At 35.3% G+C, this 25,577-nt stretch overlaps 1 protein-coding gene across 1 annotated transcript in view, besides 1 other annotated feature; it reads right to left on the minus strand.

Moving 5' to 3' along the window:
• Nucleotides 1-24,350, minus strand: part of PCDH15 (protocadherin related 15) — a 1,825,172-nt gene extending 1,800,822 nt beyond the window's left edge. The window contains exons 1-2 of the mRNA NM_001354404.2: nucleotides 24,273-24,350; nucleotides 24,033-24,161 (exon numbers count right to left, since the gene is read on the minus strand). The gene's annotated coding sequence lies outside the window, so the exon portion shown is untranslated. The remainder of the gene's footprint in view (nucleotides 1-24,032; nucleotides 24,162-24,272) is intronic.
• Nucleotides 23,846-24,656: an enhancer, noted in NCBI's record as "H3K4me1 hESC enhancer chr10:57387198-57388008 (GRCh37/hg19 assembly coordinates)". NCBI's record gives its function as "activates a minimal SCP1, AML or CMV promoter by ChIP-STARR-seq in primed H9 embryonic stem cells {active_cell/tissue: H9 hESC(primed)}" and the evidence as "EXISTENCE:reporter gene assay evidence [ECO:0000049][PMID:30033119]".

Below are 25,577 nucleotides of genomic sequence, written 5' to 3' on the forward strand. Positions count from 1 at the left end.
CATTCTTAAAGAAAAGAATTTTCAACCCAGAATTTCATATCCAGCCAAACTAAGCTTCATAATTGAAGGAGAAATAAAATACTTTACAGACAAGCAAATGCTGAGAGATTTTGTCACCACCAGGCCTGCCCTAAAAGAGCTCCTGAAGGAAGCGCTAAACATGGAAAGGAACAACTGGTACCAGCCGCTGCAAAATCATGCCAAAATGTAAAGACCATCGAGACTAGGAAGAAACTGCATCAACTAACGAGCAAAATCACCAGCTAACATCATAATGACAGGATCAAATTCACACATAACAGTATTAACTTTAAATGTAAATGGACTAAATGCTCCAATTAAAAGACACAGACTGGCAAATTGGATAAAGAGTCAAGACCCATCAGTGTGCTGTATTCAGGAAACCCATCTCACGTGCAGAGACACACATAGGCTCAAAATAAAAGGATGGAGGAAGATCTACCAACCAAATGGAAAACAAAAAAAGGCAGGGGTTGCAATCCTAGTCTCTGATAAAACAGACTTTAAACCAACAAAGATCAAAAGAGACAAAGAAGGCCATTACATAATGGTAAAGGGATCAATTCAACAAGAAGAGCTAACTATCCTAAATATATATGCACCCAATACAGGAGCACCCAGATTCATAAAGCAAGTCCTGAGTGACCTACAAAGAGACTTAGACTCCCACACATTAATAATGGGAGACTTTAACACCCCACTGTCAACATTAGACAGATCAACGAGACAGAAAGTCAACAAGGATACCCAGGAATTGAACTCAGCTCTGCACCAAGCGGACCTAATAGACAGCTACAGAACTCTCCACCCCATATCAACGGAATATACATTTTTTTCAGCACCACACCACACCTATTCCAAAATTGACCACATACTTGGAAGTAAAGCTCTCCTCAGCAAATGTAAAAGAACAGAAATTATAACAAACTATCTCTCAGACCACAGTGCAATCAAACTAGAACTCAGGATTAAGAATCTCACTCAAAACCGCTCAACTACATGGAAACTGAACAAACTGCTCCTGAATGACTACTGGGTACATAACGAAATGAAGGCAGAAATAAAGATGTTCTTTGAAACCAACGAGAACAAAGACACAACATACCAGAATCTCTGGGACGCATTCAAAGCAGTGTGTAGAGGGAAATTTATAGCACTAAATGCCCACAAGAGAAAGCAGGAAAGATCCAAAATTGACACCCTAACATCACAATTAAAAGAACTAGAAAAGCAAGAGCAAACACATTCAAAAGCTAGCAGAAGGCAAGAAATAACTAAAATCAGAGCAGAACTGAAGGAAATAGAGACACAAAAAACCCTTCAAAAAATTAATGAATCCAGGAGCTGGTTTTTCGAAAGGATCAACAAAATAGATAGACCACTAGCAAGACTAATAAAGAAAACAAGAGAGAAGAATCAAATAGACGCAATAAAAAATGATAAAGGGGATATCACCACCGATCCCACAGAAATACAAACTACCATCAGAGAATACTACAAACACCTCTACGCAAATAAACTAGAAAATCTACAAGAAATGGATAAATTCCTCGACACATACACTCTCCCAAGACTAAACCAGGAAGAAGTTGAATCTCTGAATAGACCAATAACAGGATCTGAAATTGTGGCAATAATCAATAGCTTACCAACCAAAAAGAGTCCAGGACCAGATGGATTCACAGTCGAATTCTACCAGAGGTGCAAGGAGGAACTGGTACCATTCCTTCTGAAACTATTCCAATCAATAGAAAAAGAGGGAATCCTCCCTAACTCATTTTATGAGGCCAGCATCATTCTGATACCAAAGCCGGGCAGAGACACAACCAAAAAAGACAATTTTAGACCAATATCCTTGATGAACATTGATGCAAAAATCCTCAATAAAATACTGGCAAACCAAATCCAGCAGCACATCAAAAAGCTTATCCACCATGATCAAGTGGGCTTCATCCCTGGGATGCAAGGCTGGTTCATTATACGCAAATCAATAAATGTAATCCAGCATATAAACAGAACCAAAGACAAAAACCACATGATTATCTCAATAGATGCAGAAAAGGCCTTTGACAAAATTCAACAACGCTTCATGCTAAAAACTCTCAATAAATTAGGTATTGATGGGACGTATTTCAAAATAATAAGAGCTATCTATGACAAACCCACAGCCAATATCATACTGAATGGGCAAAAACTGGAAGCATTCCCTTTGAAAACTGGCACAAGACAGGGATGCCCTCTCTCACCACTCCTATTCAACATAGTGTTGGAAGTTCTGGCCAGGGCAATTAGGCAGGAGAAGGAAATAAAGGGTATTCAATTAGGAAAAGAGAAGTCAAATTGTCCCTGTTTGCAGATGACATGATTGTATATTTAGAAAACCCCATTGTCTCAGCCCAAAATCTCCTTAAGCTGATAAGCAACTTCAGCAAAGTCTCAGGATACAAAATCAATGTACAAAAATCACAAGCATTCTTATACCCCAACAACAGACAAACAGAGAGCCAAATCATGAGTGAACTCCCATTCACAATTGCTTCAAAGAGAATAAAATACCTAGGAATCCAACTTACAAGGGATGTGAAGGACCTCTTCAAGGAGAACTACAAACCACTGCTCAAGGAAATAAAAGAGGATACAAACAAATGGAAGAACATTCCATGCTCATGGGTAGGAAGAATCAATATCGTGAAAATGGCCATACTGCCCAAGGTAATTTACAGATTCAATGCCATCCCCATCAAGCTACCAATGCCTTTCTTCACAGAATTGGAAAAAACTACTTTAAAGTTCATATGGAACCAAAAAAGAGCCCGCATTGCCAAGTCAACCATAAGCCAAAAGAACAAAGCTGGAGGCATCACACTACCTGACTTCAAACTATACTACAAGGCTACAGTAACCAAAACAGCATGGTACTGGTACCAAAACAGAGATTTAGATCAATGGAACAGAACAGAGCCCTCAGAAATAATGCTGCATATCTACAAGTATCTGATCTTTGACAAACCTGAGAAAAACAAGCAATGGGGAAAGGATTCCCTATTTAATAAATGGTGCTGGGAAAACTGGCTAGCCATATGTAGAAAGCTGAAACTGGATCCCTTCCTTACACCTTATACAAAAATCAATTCAAGATGGATTAAAGACTTAAACATTAGACCTAAAACCATAAAAACCCTAGAAGAAAACCTAGGCATTACCATTCAGGACATAGGCATGGGCAAGGACTTCATGTCTAAAACACCAAAAGCAATGGCAACAAAAGCCAAAATTGACAAATGGGATCTAATTAAACTAAAGAGCTTCTGCACAGCAAAAGAAACTACCATCAGAGTGAACAGGCAACCTACAAAATGGGAGAAAATTTTCACAACCTACTCATCTGACGAAGGGCTAATATCCAGAATCTACAATGAACTCAAACAAATTTACAAGAAAAAAACAAACAACCCTATCAAAAAGTGGGCAAAGGATATGAACATACATTTCTCAAAAGAAGACATTTATGCAGCCAAAAAACACATGAAAAAATGCTCATCATCACTGGCCATCAGAGAAATGCAAATCAAAACCACAATGAGATACCATCTCACACCAGTTAGAATGGCAATCATTAAAAAGTCAGGAAACAATAGGTGCTGGAGAGGATGTGGAGAAATAGGAACAGTTTTACACTGTTGGTGGGACTGTAAACTAGTTCAACCATTGTGGAAGTCAGTGTGGCGATTCCTCAGGGATCTAGAACTAGAAATACCATTTGACCCAGCCATCCCATTACTGGGTATATACCCAAAGGACTATAAATCATGCTGCTATAAAGACACATGCACACGTATGTTTATTGCAGCATTATTCACAATAGCAAAGACTTGGAACCAACCCAAATGTCCAACAATGATAGACTGGATTAAGAAAATGTGGCACATATACACCATGGAATACTATGCAGCCATAAAAATTGATGAGTTCATGTCCTTTGTAGGGACATGGATGAAATTGGAAATCATCATTCTCAGTAAACTATCACAAGAACAAAAAACCAAACACCGCATATTCTCACTCATAGGTGGGAATTGAACAATGAGATCACATGGACACAGGAAGGGGAACATCACACTCTGGGGACTGTTGTGGGGTGGGGGGAGGGGGGAGGGATAGCATTGGGAGATATACCTAATGCTAGATGACAAGTTAGTGGGTGCAGCGCACCAGCATGGCACATGTATACATATGTAACTAACCTGCACATTGTGCACATGTACCCTAAAACTTAAAGTATAATAATAAAAAAAAATACACACACACACAGAGACAGAGAGAGAGAGAAAGAGAGAGAGAATATTTAATGTTATTTTATACTTTATAATTTGAGTCATTTATAAAAATATCCAAGCAAAAGCGCCTACTGGTCAAATGACAGAACCTGAGTCTAGATCTGAAAGAAACCTTTGGTTTGTAGATAAAGACGGGAGCGTCTATGAGTGTAGAAGTAATAATGGATTACACATAGAGTACAAACTGGACTGATAAGAGAATAAAAACAATTACAAACTTCACAGAAGAGACACAGCGAGTGACTATAATTTGTAAAACAATATAGACACTCCAAAATTTGGAGGAAGGAAGGAAGAAAGGGAGGATGGAAGAGACAGGGAAGAGATAGGGAAGGGAAGGGGAAGGGAAGCAGAGGGAAGGGGAGGGGGAAGAGGGGAGAGGAGAGATAATAAAATACAGCAGGGAGAAGAGGCAAAAAAATTAGAAATGATCTGTGTTCCAGGACTCAAGAAAGAGTCTCATCTCCTTTAACACATTTTCTGTACTTCATTGGGTAGGACAGAAAATGTGTTAAAGCAGATGAGACTCTTCCTTGGCGAGGTAAAAATTAGATCTCTTTTCATATGAATTTACTTCAAGCTATAGATATCCATAAGTAATTGGTATATATCTGTTACCAAAACACCATGGGTTCTGTCTAGATCCTGCCGCTCACCACACAGGAAGCCAATCACTGAGACAATGACTATTGCCAAGGAAGAAGACTTTAATCAGGTGCTGCAGCCGAGGAAATGGGAGATCAGTCTCAAATATACCTCCCTGATCGACTAAAACTGAGGGGTTTACATAGCAGAAAAGAAGTGTAACTATGTATGAGAATAAAAGGAACTCAGTGTGGGATAAGAAAGCAATCATGATGAAGAAAGGGCCTGGCATTTCATTATCTGGATGTGATGATCTGGTTTCAGTTCTTTGATATGTTCTGAGAGGCCTGGGGATCCTTTCCTGAGGAAGGAACTCAGATAAAACAAATGTAAGTTTCAAGCTTTAAGGCCAGAAGGGTTAATTTCTGTTAATCCAAAAGCGATTGTCTATGGGACTATACATATATGTTATATATATATACACACACACACACACACACACACACACACGCACACACATATACACACAATATTTGAGTACTTTTCTTTTTTTTTCTGGACTTGTGTCCCTTGCTAAATGTTTCACTATTGGCTATTCCAGAAGGTAAAAATGACATCTGACCTGATTGGGAAGAATTGTAATTCTTATATGTGCAAAAACAGATGAGAGAGGATTTGCACTTTCAGATAAGTGTAACCAATCTAAATGTATTGCATTATATACAAACCACACTACACCAGATGACAAGAGATGAGAAATTCAGAGGCAGCTCCAGCATTACAAGTTGTGTGAAGATGGGCATGCACTATGCCTTCAAACCTTGGTCTTTATGTTCATAAATAGCTATAAATATACCTTCCTTAACATCTCATAGCTCTCATGGTAATCATGTGATGTCAAATATGAGAAAATTTTTAATAATCTGTAAAGTATTGTTAGGTACTCTTAGGTATTATGAAAAATTGTGCCCACTGTTCAGATCTTTATATCTCCCTGTGTACCTAACTATTGGAATCATATGTCAAAATGAAAGGCCTCTTCATTTATGTATAAAGATATTGTATCATCCAAATATTCAAGTTCATGTACACTGTCCATAACATAGTATATGCAAGAATAATATATATCAAAAATCTGAAAAAAATCATAATCGTGCTATCTATTTAACATTAGGCTTATGCTCAGGCATATGCATAAAATGATAAGTAATTCATAAAATGAGTCAACACTTCATCTGGTACATAAGCTTGCAATTGCACACAGAGATTTCATGTGTGGAATTGCTCTGAAAAGCACTGTTCTGTAAAGATAATATTTAGAAAATAAATATCTGATCATATATTGTTAACTGTAATACAAAAGCAAGTAGAAATAGCTCCGTAAACAATACTGTCATAATAAGGAGCAAACTGTCATAATAAGGAGAAAAAATTGAAACTATTTTTAAAATAATAGGCAAAATAGAATGTGTTCTTCAAACCTTGTGGATTTTATACTGAAAACTTCCAGAGATATATCTTAGGTAATTATAAGACCAAGCACAACAACAACAACAAAATCCTAACTTGAATCCATCAGTTGCAGATTTCATGGCTGAGTACATCAAGAAGAAGTTGCAAACTCTAAAAGCTGGAAGGCCAGTCAATATCAGGAACTCCTCAGAAGTGAATGAAAAGCAGTTTAAATTTGTTTAACAAAACCATGTTTTCAAACTAACTTTAATTTATGCATGAGGGCCATTAAATTTGTTCTTTTTAAAAAGGAAACTTCTTAATTGGAACTAATCATTCATTATTCACTGTGATACAGGTTATATACTCTTAGGTTCCATGTGATTATTCACATGTTCAGCTGACAGAAAGGAGACAAAGCTATTCTAATGACTTAGCTTTGCTTTGACTCATTGGTTTTTATCTCACTTTAACTTCCAATCTCGGTTACAAAGAGTGTTAAAACTGGAAGAAATAACATTTTGGTAGATGGTAAAGGATAAGTACGAGTCATTTCAAGTTGTTGAAGCTTTCATTAAATAAAGCAAGCTATTTGAAATCTTAAAGCTATTTAAATAAAGGGCTAAGACGTTTCTGTTTTATATACTTAAGAGCTTAAAAGATACTGTTGAAAATTTAACTGTTAATCTATTGTAGGGTGTGGTTAGACATTTATTTTGACAGTGCTCACTGAAAATTCAATTATACCCCCAGAGTCAAACTTGCCCGTCATCAAAATGTCTAAAGATCTGAGTGTTTATGGGGTAACAACAAACCCCATACTAAACAGTTTGCCAGAAATCTGTCCTACAACATCTAAATGGAACAATTGGGTGGTTGTCTAAGGCACCTAAACTCAATATGATGTTTTAGCTAAAAAGAGTGAAATTATACCTAAGCACTTCATGCAAGTTACCAAAAGAGAAGATATTCTTTAATAAAAAAGTACATTTGTAGAATAAAAGAATCTCAGTGTTGTAAGAAATATTTGAGATCATTTCAGTTAGGCTTTTCATTTCTTAAATTAGAAACTGAAGCTGAGATTAAACAGCTAATAAAAAGACAAAGTTGATCCATGACATTGGTTTGGGCGATGATTTCTTAGATATGACCAAAAATGCACATACAACAAATGAGATTACATCAAACTAAAGAGCTTCTATACAGCAAAGAAAACAATTAACAGAGTGAAGAGTGACAACTCACAGAATGAGAGAAAATATTTGCAAATCATAGGTCTGATAAAGAGTTAATATACAAAATATACAAGGAATTCAACTCAATAACAATAAAACAAATAACCCTGTTAAAAAAATGGGCAAAAGACCTGGACAGATATTTCTCCAAAGAAGACATACAAATGGCCAGTAGAGATATTAAAAGGTGTTCAATATCACCATTGATTAGGAAATGCAAATTAAAATGAGATTTCACCTTACTCATTTTAGAATGGCTATTACAAAGAAAAATGAAAGACAAGTGTTGGTGAGGATTTGAAGAAAAGAGAACACTTGTAAAATGTTGATGGGAATGTAAATTAGTGCAGCCATTATGGAAAACAGAAGGGAGGTTTCTCAAAAATAAAAAAAATATAATTACTATATGACCCAGAAATTCTACTTCTGGGTGTATACTCAAATGAGTTAAAATCAGTATGTTGACTAGATATCAACACTTCCATGTTCATTGCAGCATTATTCACAATAGCCAAGATATGGAAACAATCTAAGTGCATATCAAGGGATGAATGGATAAAGGAAATTATATATACATATTTATAGTGTATATACACAATGGAATACTATTCAGCTTTTAAAAAGGAGAAAATTCTGTCATTTGTGAAAACAAAGAAAAATCTAGAGGATCGTATGTAAAGTGAAATAAGTCAGGTACAGAAAGACAAATACATCATGATCTCACTTACACGTGAAAAGTAAAAAATGTCAGACTCATAGAAGTAAAGAGTAGAATGATGGTTACCAGAGGCTGGAGGAGGCGGGATAGACAGAAAAAGAAGATGTATTTGTCAAATGGTACAAGGTTCAGCTAGATAGGAGAAATAAGTCCTAGTGATCTATTGAGCAATAGGGTAATTATAGTTAATAATAATGTATTATATACTTCAAAATTGCTAAAAGAGTATATTTTAAGTGTTCTCACCATAAAGTAATGATAAATATGTGAGTTGAAAGATATGTTAATTCACCTGATGTAAATGTTCCACAATGTATACATGTATCTTAACATCAATATTGTATGTTATAAATACATATAATTAATTATCAAATAAAAAATTAAGATGGAGCTGAGCCAAGAATCCAAGACTCTGAATTTAGATTTTTCATTTTCTATTATGCCAAAGTGTTTCCTGAAAATTAAAATTGAATATGGCACGTCCAAAAGAATACGTCATAAGAAGACAGGAAAGGGGGGACTGCTGCATATACTCATATTTTTAGTCAGTTGTGTAAGATCTTATTAGAGGAAGAAAATCAGATATTTTAAGAAAATTCTTACAACTCCCATTATACTGAAATTTTATGGCAAACCTAAAACCTTCAAAATATAGGGTTTTATTTAAAGTGAATCATATATTTGCAAAGTTTTTATTGAGATTATGAAAGCAAAATCTCTCAAAGTAGCAAAACATAAGTATATATTTTAGACTGTACTGTGCAGAATAGCAGAATGGTACCAATGGCAAAGAAATTTTCAAAAGAAATAAAAATTATTGAGGTCTCATCCCAGCTCTACTAATCTATGTCTTAGCAACCTAGTGTAATTCCTACAAATTCTGAGCATTGCCTTTAATGTATCTGCATGGTTCCCACATCATTTCATAAACTTCAAATACTCACACTTTATAATTGAAACAATATACAAACTATATTATTAAATAAGCTATGGTATGATATTCTCAATCTACCCTATAAGGATACTATCTTCCTGTCAGAAAAGTTGAGACTCTCCAATACATATTTACTAGCCAGATTTTTTTTTTTTTTTTTTTTTTTTGAGACGGAATCTCTCTCTGTCGCCCAGGCTGGAGTGCAGTGGCACAATCTCGGCTCACTGCAAGCTCTCCCCAGATCTTAATTGTGGAATCTCCAGACAGTGTCCAGTCAGAAATCCATTATTAGTTTTGCCTCATGTTCCCTAACCACCTTCTCTTTACCTTCAATCTTAAGCCCCAAAATGAAAGTTATTATTCTTGGCTCAATTATCCAAATTCTTTGAAGGGAACTGGTGACACTATAGCCTATCTTTACCTGCCGCCTTGTGATCCAGGCTTCCTAGGTATCTGTGAATATTCACATTAGGTTACCTGGACTCCATAGAGGCAGCACCAACAAAAAACATAATTGGGATATACACCACTTTTAGACTTTCAAATACATGCCCCACCTTATAATATGTGAACTGATTATTCACTTCTAGACATTCAACTTTCAAACAGTTATGCTCTGTATTAAACATCAACATCCTCCTTCCCTTTCATTGAAAGGACACCGGGAAAACAAAAAGATGCAAGGGAAAGTTCACACATAAGGATAATCATTTGTGATAATGGTGACAATGATCCCTATTTCTTTTTCTGCTCTTATGAATTTGCAAATGTCCTACAAACTAAGTGTATTAAATGAATCTGTGAAAGTTCATCTAAGTCCCTAGTATTATTTTTTTCTTACTCTCTAGAAAGTCATAGCCTCGTAGCTCAAAGCCAAATAGAAAAGATGCAAATCATTCGTAGGACAAGGGTTGATGCAGCTTTCAATTACTGAATACATTTTTAGCCATTTAAAACTAAAAGAAAAGTAATGTCGGTAATCCCAGCACTTTGGGATGCCGAGGCGGGTGGAACACAAGGTCAGGAGATCGAGACCATACTGGCTAACATGGTGAAAACCCGTCTCTACTAAAAAATACAAAAACAAAAATTAGCCGGGCATGGTGGTGGGTGCCTGTAGTCCCAGCTACTCGGGAGGCTGAGGTGGGAGAATGGCTTGAACCGGGGAGACGGAGCTTGCAGTGAGCTGAGATCGTGCCACTGCAATCCAGCCCGGGCAACAGAGCCAGACTCCATCTCAAAAAAAAAAAAAGAAAAGTAACAAAACTCTTTTCCTCTTTTTTTATGATTTAAATTTTACTTTAGGTTTGAAAAGTGAGATATATATCACTTAACAGTCAGGAAGCGTGTAGTAAACTCAATCTCTGAACCGACATTACCTAAAACAGAGATGTTCGTTTTCTTATACTCATCTCTAAAATAGAGGTAGACAGAGAAAGTGCTGCTTTTTTAGAGATTGTAATGAATTCAAACATATCCATTAATATTATAGCAGTTATTTTGGTTTCACAGTGAAACATAAAAAGTTCTATCTTATTGGAAAGAAAACCAAGTAGCTACCTAAGTACTTGATGAGAAGGAATTTGTTCTACTGTTTTAAGTGCATGAGGGATAAAGCAAGACTTAGAAATATTTTTGTTAGACCGTTTCATTTTAATAGTATTTTCTGTTATAACAGAAATGACCTACAGTAAAATAATTCAAAATACCCTTCCTTCTGAAGGTGATTTCCACATAAAATTGTAACATTACTATGATCTAAATTTAAATAAAATTTTCTATTGATGTTAAAAGTTTGATAATACACAGTTTGTTAAAGTGGTTTGGTCACTATTTGGGTATGATCAACTTCAAACCATAGGTGTTTAAATGAACCAAAGTCTTTGGTTTATTTCTATAGCTTTTTGTCTAATTTTATTAATAACTAGTATACCAGTCATTCATATACAGTCATAACTGGCCAACCAAGGTTTACTTCGTAGGAGGGTGACAGTTTACCCTTTAATACCACCTAATTAAAATACACAAAATGTTCTACACAAATAACAGCAAATTGTTTATTTCTAAGAACATAATTTTCCTTTTATAGGAAGCTCTCAACATTAATTTGGAGCCACATTTTAATTTTATAATGTAATCATTCAGTAAATGGTCATTAGATATTGGGTTATTTGGAAAATTGTAAAAAATCAGACTTCTGACCATGTCCTTTAAAATAATTAACTTAGCTGGAAACAGTAAAGCAAGACTTAAAAATACAAATCATAACATGAAAATTCAAATGATTGTATACTAAAACAATTGTATGCAAATAATTAAGAACAGTGACTATAATAAAAAAGTTTAATAGATTTGACAAAACATTTAAAGAATATAACTTACATATATGAAAATAAGACATCAAAACTTGAATTGAAGCTGTCAAACTGTGAAAAACAGTAGTAAACAATAAAAATCACTTACTCATTGGAAACACTGCAAAATGTCATTAAATCATTTCAGAAATGAAGGTACATTAATGAAAAATAATCATAGTTTTTAACTCAGTCTCACCTCACCTTTAAGAAACACACAGTATAAAACAGCAATAAATGGGATAATTTATATTACTGCAACAAAATGCAAATATATATATTGTATACGAGCACCCTCTCTTCAATGTATACTTTAACCCAATAGCTTTCTACCACTAGAAATTTATCAGAAGAAAATAATGGTGGCTTAATACCAGCACTATAATACCAGCCCTCTGATAGGCTGAGGCAATAAGGTCAATTGAGTCTAGGAGTTCCAGATCAGCCTGGGCAACATAGTGGGATTCTGCTTCTACCAAAAAATAAAAATAAAAAATAAAAAATGCCAGTCATAGTGGCTGGCACCTGAATCTTTGCTGCTTGGGAGACTCATATGAACCTAAGCTGATTTGAGCAGGAATATAATTTCAGTCCAGGAGGTTGAGTCTGTAGTGAGCTATGATCATTCCATCGCTGCAGCCTGGGCGACAGAGCAAGACCCTGTCACATACACAAAAGAAAATAATTCAGAATGTGCACAAAAATGTATAAAGATGTTTCTGAAAGTTGCATTTGTAATACTGCAAAATCAATGCCACATTGAGACAGAGGTACCAAGATTAAGCTGGAGTCACCACTGACAATTGAAATCTGGAGTCAGAATGCTGTATCTAAGTGGGACAACAGTTTCTTTCCTGCAGCCCACCATTACCATGCAGCAAAGTTGCTCTATTACTTCTGAATTTTCCACATTTTTAAAGAAAAGCAGAAAATCCAGTTTCTAAGACAAAAATCAAGTTACAAGTATTGACAGAAAAATCACTTTTAAATAATTGTAAACAGTAACAACACACTTTAACAGTAAATCTAATTCAGCCTGATACCAGGCTGTACCAATAGATACAATGAAACTGCATAATATTGGTAAAACAATTGTATGGTAGAAAAATACTGGCATAAAAATGTTCATAGCAAATTCATAAATGGAAAAAGTAGTCTGTTTTATTTAAATAAAAAGGAGCTAGATGAATTGCAGACAACCATGTATTAATAGTTACATCTTTCAATTTTAGAATTAATATACTTTATTTTTTGAGTTTTCATTATTGTGATGTATTATGCTGAAATTAGCAAAAAAAAAAAAAAGAGTAACTCTCTGAGTGATACAGAAATTTGTAATGAGAAATAAGGTGTGTCCCTAACCAACCCACCTATGTGTCAGTTTGAAGGTAGCAAGAAAATTTTTATCACAGTCAGGGAGAATGGGAACCTGTGATATGTGGCAGTGACATATTGATAACACTGTGCACTGAGGTGACTTGAGAAGTATTTGTGTACCTAACGATTTCCAGTGTCATAAAACATAGGTAAGAACACTGAATATTAGCACTGGTTGATATTTGGTCTCTACAATAGTGAGTATGGTGGTTACTTCTAGATGTCAACTTGAATAGACTAAGTGTTGCCTAGATAACTAGTAAAACCTATTAAAGTGTTATTTAATATAGTATTGTAGAATATACATTAAGTACATTATTATGTTACATGTATTATAATGTAACACATTATAATATATTAAAGACATTATTACATTAATACATTACTTAGTATAGTATTACTTAATACATTAAAATGGTAGCTAAGCTTGAAGAATCCCTGAGCAGACAAACCCAGTTAGACCTCATAAGCAACCTCTCAACCTTGCTTGCTTTGCAAACATAAACAAAACTTCAGGTATTTTTTGTAAATGCCTATATGAAAGAAAAACAGAACTTTCTTTTTCTTTCCAAATAGGAGTGTTTACTATAGTTTTCCTATTCCTGTATCACATTACACACTGAGTGTGTGGGAGAGCAGAGAGATTTAATTTACAAGTTTTAGATCAAGAGAGCATAACCAGATCCCAGGTTAAGACTTAACACTACAGAATGCTCACATTAGTAATACTCGTCTTATAAAAAGATATACTCTTCACTGTAATTGCTGCAAACAATAAAATACTGTAAAATAATATGCAGTGTGTTTGTGAAAGGTCAATAACATGCTTATATTTTTGCTGTTGAAAAACTACACAAAAGCAAATGACTAGAACAGTAGACCAATTAGTATCAGTAGAATTATACCATCAAACATTCCACTGAGCTTGAATGTAAGATCTGACATAACCAGATAATTCCATGGCAGGGCAATAAACTGCATTTACATTCTCTTTCTAACAATTAGTGCAAGCATATCCAGATAAACTATATTGATTCTACATTATCTTAGAGTGAAATCACCTAATAACTTCTTCAGTACTCTTTCTTTTAATTTTTATCCTAATTATCTGTCTGAAAATGATCTTTTAAATTGGGAAAACTGATTACATTACATCCTTCAGTTCAGAGTAGCATTGGGTAACGACATTTTGGCTGCAGACAAATCACTCTTTCACAGTCATCAGCTTTTAGAACATTCTTAGACTTTGTTTTCCATCTAAACTTTTCAGTTAATTTTACTCTAACTTTTAATTGATGTTACTGAGTAGCAAACGAGACTGAAGGACACTGCTTTGTTTTAAAAAAATGAAGAAAGAAAGGCATGTGAATCCTATAAATGTAATTCTAATGAAATCAAGATAAAATATAGTGTTTATAGAAAGAAATACAATTATTTCTAATAACTGCTTTCATTTCAAACAATTTTCAACAAGTTAGTGACATAGAATAAATACAATTCTAGAAGAATCCAGGATTTTTTTTCTATTGCATTGCTGTTTATTAAATTATAGCTACTTGAAGGCTTTGAAAAATTGAACACCAGTAAAACTGTCCTTCTTTTGTTAATATGTTTTGTTTTCTTGTTTCATTTTTAATTCAACTAGTCATTCACCAGAAAAATTTACTGAGGTAAACTTTTTTGATTATCCTTTCATAGCATTTAACACAAGTGTTATTTGTTGTAGTCTTTTGTATATGAATCTATTAATGCTGAGAAACTGAACATTCCTAGGAGTGTCCTAATAGGAAATAAAAATTAACAATTTCAACTGTACTGTTACTTAAATAAATATTCATATAGTTTACCTTTCAGTATCATGACAAACACTTTGATTATATAAGAAGGTCTTTGTATACACATCAAACTACCAAGAAGTCGTATCTGATTTTGTGCTTTTCTACTACTCTTCCCCAAAACACTTGTTCAAAATGTTTACTTTTAAAGGGTCTGAACTGTGTGTCAAGCACTGACATCAGCATGTTACCTGAATTATCTCATTAAAGTCTTGTGATACTCATGTGGTATTAGCGGTGAAGAAACTGAAGCACAGAAGCTTCAAGTAAAATGTCCAGTTTTAGAGAAACTAAACAGTAGAGTCTGGAAGCCCAATTACTGACCTTGTACAATTGCCCAGTATTGTGTACTGACCTAAAAAGGCCTATGAGATATCAACCCATTAAGATCCATGACATAAAGAAAATTGTTTGTCCTACAATATCCCAATCTGGATGAAGGCAGATAAAGAGAATGTGCTTAGGCATGATGACAAAAAAATAAGAAAGAACTGTGAATGCACTTTACAAAACAGAAAGGAACACAAGGGAGTTTGGAACCAAGTTGAAAATTAAACATGTTCATGTGCACATAACAAAAGCGTGATCGTAAATAAACTGTGTCAACACTGTACTGTGAAGGTGAAACTTTCTTTTTAGGATCAGCTAAACCCTGTATAACTTGTAAAAAAATGCAACCACGTATGTTGATGTACTAAACCCAATATTTCTTTTGGCTTATATACTAAAAGCAGCAATTCTTTCCTGTAATGAAGAAAAAAACACAGGCATCAAGGAGTAATAAAAATAATGTCTTAGAGTATAAAATACAGAAACACCAATTAAGGCTTTTTTTTAACATAATACATGTAAAAACTGCATCAGAATTTTAAAAAAACTATAGCGTCATTGGTTCTGGCAATAAGCAACCACACTCTGCTGGAGGTAACTTTAGTAACGTCAAACAAAAGTCTTAAAATTATGACAGGTGGTATTCATTTAAAATATGCTCAAGAGCTATTAGAAATCAAGAACACAGTATCTGGACCCTTGATTTGAATCCACACTCAATCTCTTTCTAACTGGGAAATTTTGGACAAAGTTTTAAACTTTCCTGAACATAAAATGCCTAGCTTGCAATAACTTTAGAAAATACTAGGAGTTTGTAAAGTTACGAGAATCAAATTAGTTAATAAATGTAATGTACTTAAAGTAATAACTGGCACAAAATAATTATAATTCATTATTATTTTTCAATATCTAAATTCTCTAGCTTGTAGCTATTTTGAGCATATTTGAAAATTTCTAATATGTGTTTTTGATTACTTATCATGTAGAAAAATATAGCTTTCCAGATGAAAATGTAGTATCCAATGTAGAAGTCACATATAATATTTATTAAACTGGAATGCTATCATTTTAAATTATTTTGAAGCTCATTAAAGTAAGTCTGCACTGGCCAACTTTTTATTTATTAATTAAATTTTTGCCTAGCACAGTTAATCTCCTTTTCTAAGACTTAATTCCCAAACCTATAGTCTTTCTTTTCCCATTTGGAGATGGGTAGGAGTACTATTCCTTTCTTGCCCAACCCTTCCTCTATTTTCATTATAATAACCAGTATGCCCTTGCCTAAGCATATGCCCCCAGTTAATAATACAGATTCACTGTACTGTTTCACCAAATTTAACCCGTTATTTTTGGAAATAGGATGTTTAAAAATGGGTTTGTTATTCCTTAATACATGCCAAATGTCATCAGTATATTGTGGTCCAGATGTATTCTAAATACCAATTGAAAAACATTCTTAAAGCTAAGAACACATGACATATTTCACAAAGTGAATAACTGTGAGAAGCTTGGGAATTGTAAGCATTCTTGAAAAACTATTTTTTTTTTTGCATGTGTGTTACAAGCATTTGCACAGGTTATATATTTTATAGCTCTAGTTATAAAAATAGAGAATAGATTATATTCCCTCACATTTGTACAAAATGGTCAGCAAGAATACACATCTACAGAAGTTTAAAGTATTTACTCTTTTTTTAGTTAATACATGTTTCAGAACCTTAAAGAGAGCAAATCATAATGCCCATTGATTATAATGTCACATTTTAGTTATTACATTATTACATTTACTTATTATAACTTTTAGAATTTTAGGAGGAAAACAATAATTCTGAGTGGAAATTTGAATATTTGCACCCTAAAAATTTTCAATTCCATTTTCAATAATGTAGTAGAATGTTTCCTAGAGACATAAGACAATTAAAAATATGAAGTACTAGGTTTTCAAGTATATTGCAAAGCCATAAATAATATATAATCTAGCAGTGGTACAATAATTAATATATTATTTTTCAATTATATTAAGTTTTAAGAACTCAATGCTCCTAAAATTTTTAAATAATACTATATAAAATACAACTCAAATGATATCAGCTCAAATTCATGTATACCTCTTTGCAGCTAAAGTCTTTTAAAATTAAAAATAATTTAAAATTTTGTCATACATTTATGAACCCATTTTAAAGAACATAACATGTCATGCAAATGTTAATTTAATACATAATGCATTAGTAAAAACTGTTCTGAATATATATATATTATGTTTATGTTAGAAAACCATTTTTAAACAGGAATTAGATTCTATTGATTCATCAAATTATTAATCACAACATTGCTAAACTCAATTTTTACTCTCCTAAGCATATTGGAATCTAGGAGAATGTACAGTAGAGATAATAATATGAATAGAATTTAACTTATATGTTTTAGCAAAGAAGAAATAAAAACTGGAAAATTATGGGTTTCTAACATGTCTATTTGTTAGTTGTCCTTTTAAAAATTTCTTTATAGAAGCATTTTGAGTGAAGCCCACAGATTATTTAATAATTTATTAATTATTCAAAAAAGTCTGTCCTTGTTGGCAATGTGGAAAACCACACTGCCAACAGAGCAATGGTCCCCGCACCCCAGAGCAGGGGTCCCCCACCCCAGGGGCTGCAGACCAGTTACCTGTTCATGGCCTGTTAGGAACTGGGCCTCACAGCAGGTGGTGACCTGCGGGAAAGGTAATGGTGGGTGGCATTACCACCTGAGCTCCACCTCCTGTCAGAACTCAGAGCGGCATTAGATTCACATAGGACCAGGAACCCTATGGTTAGCTGCGCATGTGAGGGATATAGGTTGCACACTCCTTATGAGAATCTAAAACTAATTCCTGATGATGTGAAGTGGAAGAGTTTCACATAACCCCCATCCCCACAATCCACTCACCCAGCCATCCCTGGTCTGTGAAAAATTTTCTTCCACAAAACTGGTCCCTGGTGCCAAAAAGTTTGAGGACTGCTGTGTTAAGGTGAAAAAGGGTACATGTGGTAATTACAAAAAAAAAAGTTCAATAAATATAGGAAAAAACTCTAACATCATATGTATATGTGGACATATATACTAACATATACATGATTTTCTGATTTGAAGAATGTATAAAAAATGAGGAAACGACATTGAAACCCTTTTTAAAGATCATTCATAGTTAAATATAAATATACTCTCGTTCTCTCTCTATATATATTTATATATGTATATATAATAAATATTTATATATGTATATATAATATATATATAAATTGTATATATAATGTATATATAATATATATAAATTATATATAATGTATATATATTATATATATCTATAAATATATATATTATATATATTATATATATCTATAAATATATATATTATATATATTATATATATATACATTTTATGTAGACAGGGTCTCACTATGCTGCCCAGGCTGGTCTTAAACTCTAGCTCAAGTGATCTGCCAGCCTAGGCCTCCCAAAGTGCTGGGATTACGGGCATAAGCCACTGCGCCTGGCCCACAGTTAAATATCTTAAGTCAAAACTGATAATTGTACTTCCTTTCACTTCTTCTCTTCATTCTTGAAAGGAATTCAACACTGAAAAAGAGGTGGAGACCTAACTGAGGCATTCACAAATAAGAACTTTAGAAAAATGAAAAAACATAGTTATATAAATCATTTCTAATGATTTGTTCATCTTCAAAACATAGGCCAATATTTCTATTTTACCCAACTTTACTCAGCTGTAGGATGCAGTCCAGAAACATCTTAGTGTAAGAGTATTTTTCATAAAATGTAAGATATTTTATTTAAATTGAATGGCTGATCAACCATAAGAATTCCACTGTAAAGTAACCAAAGAAGTACAATTCTTAGAAGACTATCATGAAATAGTTTTATGAATTAAAGAAAAAGTAATCACTTCTCACCAGGAATCAAACTTTTAGTTGGCATAGCATAAAATAATTTCTCACACTGGCAAAAGAAAAACCTCCAGAAACTGCAGGCAAATGTCCTCTCCCCACTCCCACTCCTAAATAAAATACGGGCTGGACCGAGGCATTATGATTTCTCCTGCCTCTTGGATTTGCTCTCTGTACCACAGAGCTGTCTTCTAGTCTAATCCCACTCATAAAACTGAGCAAATGGCATACCAAGAAATGGCATACCAAGACAGAGCATCTAACATGTGTTTGACATTTCTGAAGCATCTCAAGTCCCTGGATTCCGCCTCCTGTTTTCCATATTTTCAAACATGTTCTCGAACATGTGTTTGACCTTTCCGAAGTATCGCTAGTCCCTGGATTCCACCTCCTGCTCTATATATTTTTTAACGTTAATGTCCTATTCTCATTGTTAAAATGTGAGTTTCTACACAAGTTATTTCTTATTTGTACCCGAAGACTTTGAATAGGCTCTGGCACTCCCAGACACAGGATATCAAACAGATTCAGGCCTTAACTAGGTCGTAGGACTGGACTTACATACAAGTGGCTGTGGTTTGTGAGACTAGGTTGTAGTGGTTTTTTTGTTGTTGTTTTGTTTTTTCATTTTGTCTAAGGACTTGAAAACCTTCAGGGGAGACGTGTGTTAAGATTTGTCTTCTTCTAGTGATCTTCTTTTAAAACACAAATCAATCCTGTTAAGGAATCCATTAAATCACTATTAGTGTGAATGGATTTTTTTGGGTAGTATGGATGAATTCAATGTAAATGCAAATGTAGTATGTGGAAGAAGAGCCATTCTCATTCTATGAACATAGGACAGGGATGAGAATATATATAACACTATAGTTAATGAAAAATATATATTTCTGATTTATGTGAAATCAATTCAAGAGATTATATATACATATTCTATAGATATAATATGATTTTCATCAGAGCACAGAGGATGAAGAGAGAAGAGAAAAGATAGGAGTGGTGGCTACTAGATCCTCTTGGGGGATTATTTTGAAAAAGGCAGTCTTTGGCAATAAATGGGCACTAACACCTTCTAATAGATATCCATTGGCTTGAAGAAAAAAAGTGTCAGAAAATTTATCATTGGAGAAAAGTCAATGTTTCCATTAGTATTAATGTAGCTAAAGATGGCTCAAGGGTAAAATTATTCAAAATACTATGCATCACAATAGTGGCATCCTGTGGACTACTCTCTCTCTCACCCTATGGGGAAAGGGGCTATGTGAAAAGAAAATGAATTTCTAGAGCAGCAAAACAAAATTCTTTATATTTTTTTACATAGAAATTGATTGTGTTTGCCATCAGTTGTGTAATTATTTTACAAAGAAGCCCTTGAACTGTGGCAGAAATTCTGGATGCTCTGTCACTATGTGTCAATCTCAATATATCAATCATAATGCCTGTGATTTGTGGTTAATATGAAGCAAAAACAAACTTCTCTTAGGTTAAGTTTATTTTCCGAGAATTAAACTAGTTTCCTAATTTTTTCCCCAGGGTTCCAAATTCTTAGTGTAACACCAACCAAATATCAAAAGAGATTATTAGAGCTTCAATAAAAAAAATTAAAGAATAAGCTTATAATTCACATTATTCCATTACATGCATTATTAGAGAGGACGTTTCATTAAAGCATGCAAGCTGCATTTTTTTTTAATTTCGACATGTAGATAGTTTAAACTAGAAGCCACCCGACACTTTGATATAGCATAAGACAACTGGGAAATGTCAGTTGACTAAAGTGGTTATTTAAAGAAAATAAGCAAATACAATATTCTTTTTGTCTATTGATATGTGATGCTGCACTGTTATTGGGCAAACTTTTTAATTAATAGAAAACTCTAATGCTTATGATGACAAAAACATGTTCTGTAAAATAGCACTGTATATGAAAATAGTACAAAAGGGGGAAATTAGAACTCTGACACCACAGTGTCAATGAACATCACACAGATTGAAGACCACAGTAATGAATGACCAACATCGTTAGGCTGGAAAGAGTGGGAAAAATTAAGAATTTCATGTAGATGTTATTTTCAAAAATAGACTCAATAAAATGACCAGACTCACCATTGGGTTCAGAACGTGATCAATCATCTCTTTCACTTTTATGTTACCTTTGTGAAGTTTTATTAATGGAAATGAAGAAATTTACTAGAAAAAAAATGATTGTAGGCACTGTTAAATTTACTTTCTCTTTGTGTAATTTCGTGAAAGTGACCTGAACTGCTTTGCATTTGTAGGGAAAAAGATAAATATGTAAATATATGAAATTAAAAGGTGAGAATAAATTTAAAAAGTTTTTCTCTCTCCAGTGAGAAAGTGATAATCATAATGTTTAGTTAAAGCTATCATCTAACCAAAGCCATCAGTACACTGATTTTTTTTTAACTTAAGATTTTAATAATGCTGAAGCATTTCTGTCACCTCAGTATTAGTGCTTCCTGGTTTAAATCTCAAAGGGCCACCATCCAAGGCTGCAAATATACAAATGATAAAATTTTGGTATTTGAGAATACCCATCTTCTAATAGGACAGCCATGACAATAATAATGGCATTGATAGAAGAAAACAAGAAAATTTCAAAAAGATAAATACTAGGGAAAGTTTTTAGATTAACATGCAAGTATGACACCCTCCCTCACAAAAATCAAGTTCATTAACACTAAGCCTGTAAATTTCATAGAATACTTCTTGAACTAGCAGAACTGGAATCACCCATCCTGTTAGATATGCAATTAATTGGACCCTCTTGAAACAGTATCTTGTGTGTTAGGAGTTGTAAATCTCAATTGTTAAGCATCTTCAGGCACTAAACTTTGAGAAAAACTGTTCTAGAGCCTGGAACTAAACAGTTTATTTGAAAGTCAATAGTTACAAATGAGATCTGTTCTTCCCTCCTTGGGATTCTAAAGTCTTTTCAAAGCATTTACCAAGCAAAGAATCTGCCCTTTGAGATAAACCTGCTCATGCAGATTTAAGATAAGGTTGATTTCCGCTGAAGATAATCCATCTTCTACACACACACTCTCTCTCATACACACACCTCTCAGATTTTTGTTTTATTTCCTCCTCTTCTACACTGTCCTAATTCTCCTTAAGTACTGTCCATCTTCCTAATTTAGTCCTACTCTCACCACTTTCGTGGTACTCTGGTCTCCCTATACTCTCCATGTCCTCCAACACACCTGGTTCAGCAGGAAGCCTAGGCATACGTAGTATATACCCAGGAAATGTATAAACTATACTGTCAGAGGATTAATTTATTTTAATTCAGGGCAACCCAACTGTGAGCTGCCCTAAGAGAAAGAATACAAGTAACAAGGGCCATTGCACAGAGGGAGATTTAAGTTCAGACTGGAAGCTACAAGTGTACAGAAGCAAGAGAGAGAGAAAGAGAGAGAGAGAGAATAAATAAATAAATAAATAAATAAAATAAAAAAGCAAGCAAGCACAAAGCAGCAGCAGCAGTTCAAGTTCCAGATTCCACTAGTTGCAGTTTAATGTAAAGGGATCCTTGCAGAGGAGAGATGGTAATGTTAGTAAGGCCAGATCTTGGATCTTGCCTCCCACTGCTTTATAGGATATCCCGAAATCTACAGCACGCATGTGTGAAAAAGTGGATAAAACCGTCTAATATTATTCTATTCCCACAAATGAGATCAGAAATAAAATGTACAGTAGTGTCTTTATGGAACCAAGTATTTCAAGATCTGAATACTAACGGGTTCATTTATTTCACTGATTACTGTATGTAGATATGAAATTCCAGGCACTGATTTTTCATTAAACCACTCTCTTAAGGTTAACTTGCCGCTCTCTTTACACCTATGAATCCATATGCTTGCCACGTAAATTGTAATATTGATTTTTAACATTTCCCCACAGTTCAAAAATATTGTTTGCCAAAAATCAAGGGCCTTTTCTAACAATTCATGTAATTCCTGTTATTAGCTAATGTGTAAGAGTTGGGAACAATTAAACATACTGTATACAAAATCTTACCATGCTGAATTGCACCCAAGATACTAGTTCAGTCATCCTTCAAATTACCTCACAACTAAAAAGGATCAGATACTTAAATAAAAACTTTAGGCAAGGTAGGAAAGAAGTCTTTTATCATCCCTGTATATTGCAAAAGTGTTCCATTCTCTCTAAATTCACATTATATTTATTAATGAGCAGCACATGGAAAGAAAGAAAATGAGAGAGAGAGAAAGAAGGAAGGAGAGAAGGAAGAGAAGATAAAGAAGGAAAGAAGTCAGGATGGTAGGAAAGTGAGAGACAGAAAGAGAGCTAGAGCTAGAGATAACGATGAGAGAGATAAAGGAGAGAAACTCTAATGTCTTTGATATCCTCCAACTTAAAAGAGAAGGATGTAACCCCCCACCCCCTCCCCGTTTACATATAATGGAACAAGCCAAGTCTCCATTCACTACATGTGGACATTAAGAAAACTTGCATGGGGAAAACTTTTGGGGGGAAATGAAGGTGATTTCTGAGCTGCTACTGCAGTTGTATATGACACTGACATTTATTTCCCATAATTCTTGCCCACAGGAAACACAACCTTTAAGAAACTGAATAAAATCAAGTTGGACATTCTCAAAATCTGCAAGGTATCAACTTCCCCGAGAAGCTCACATTCCCCCAACACAAACACATACATGTAAGGAGCGAGACATTCAGGCGATGAGCTTTGAAAGGTACTTCCACCTTGTGAGGGTGCCACGGATTTGGTTGTTCCTGAACCTGAATCTGAAAAGCGGGGGTGGGGTGTGCGATGACAAATGAGGGTGAGAAGAATGTTTCCATGAAACCAGAAACCCTTTTGGAATCTGGGCTGAGAATCAGGATCCCACCCCCTTGCCTACCTCCAGGCTCCAGTAAGCAACCGCTGGCGTCCTCCCCTCTGCTCCTTCAGCAGCAGCGGACGTAGGGATCCCGAGCAGCCACGGAGCTTAGGTCCCGCAGAGAGCTCCTGCCAAGCGCTTCTCTCTCGACTAGTTACCAATTGAGAAAAAAAAGGGTCAGAGACACACAAGGATGGTGATCAAAATCCAGTGTCAGGCACCAGGGTCCCAGAAGGTTCCGGCTCCTCTTCTGCGCCTTACCCAGCTCTTTTCGTCTGGCAAAGGGTCACCCAGCGAGCCCCCAGCAGCAGATCCTTCCCTTTTGCTCCTCCTGATAGCGCCAATCTTCGCCGCCACTGCCACACTGCGCGCCCGCTATCCACTCACCGCACAGCGAGAAGGCCTGGCGGAGATAGCGCGGGGGGAGGAGGGTGGATTAAAAGGATAGATTTTTGGAAGGGTAAGGGAGAAAAACTTTGATGTTGTAACCACACACAGGACTGAGAAGAAACCAAAACAAGTTGCAGCTTCAGGAGCGGGGAGGACGCTTTTCGGGGTAAAAAAAAAATCACCCCCTACCAAAATCAGGGGGAGGAAGCTCCCTGCTCCTTGAGCGATCACCCAGAGCACCTCGCAATCTCTGATCTTCGAACCCACTGAAAAAGCACAGGGCATGGGGAGTCCTGTTGGTTCATGCCCAGGGTACGAATACCAAAAGCGCCTCCCGCTGGAGAGGCTGCGGGGAACTCGAGGCAAAGACAGAGGCAAACGCAACGCTGGGAAGAGTGAGGGGAGTCCGAGCTGCCGCCTGCAAAAGCAGAGACGCGTCGCCCTTCGGGCAAAGTGACTGCTACAAAGTCCGTTCCCTCCTGCGCAGGGACAGAGACATTTAAAGGCCTGAATGGACGTCAGCACCAGTCGAGCTCGCTGGGTGAGCGCCAGGTCTCCCCGCCCCACGGATTGTAGCGCGCACAGGGCGATCTGCTGCTCGCGAGGTAGAGTGGCTTACTTGGGGAGAAAACAGAGCTGGTGGCGCTGCGGAGTGTCAAACCCTGGAGCCCATCGTCAAGACGTTATACTGGTGGCAGTTCTGCTGTGAGTGCACTTGCCGAATTAAAAAGAGCCAGAGCTGCGTGGAGAGGGGTCTGGCCACTCTGCGCGCGCGCACCCAGTATTGGGTTACCAAGGAGCTCAACACCTGGTTTTTAGAAAGAAAAAAAAAAAAAACACTTTCTCTTTAGCTCTGGTTTGAGTAGGTATTCTGATTCGTTTCTCAAGGTTAGTTGAAATCCATCGAGATGTCTTTTACAAGAAAGGGATTAGACTTTCCTGTCTTGAAATTCCAATCAAGATAATACTCAATCTTTCCTTAACCCCCACTGTCTACTTCCTAACTCAGAGTCACAGTGGATGAAAGTATTCAAATGTCTTCAAATGACCATTACCCTGCATTCTAAGACGATTTGCATACTTAGACGCCCTTTAGTAACTTTAAGAGCCTTTGCACAAGGAAGTTGTATTTCTTATATTAATACCCTTCTATAAGTGATATTTTCTGAGGATTCT

The sequence above is a fragment of the Homo sapiens genome, chromosome 10, assembly GCF_000001405.40.
Source record: "Homo sapiens chromosome 10, GRCh38.p14 Primary Assembly".
In the NCBI taxonomy this organism is placed as follows: Eukaryota; Metazoa; Chordata; class Mammalia; order Primates; family Hominidae; genus Homo; species Homo sapiens.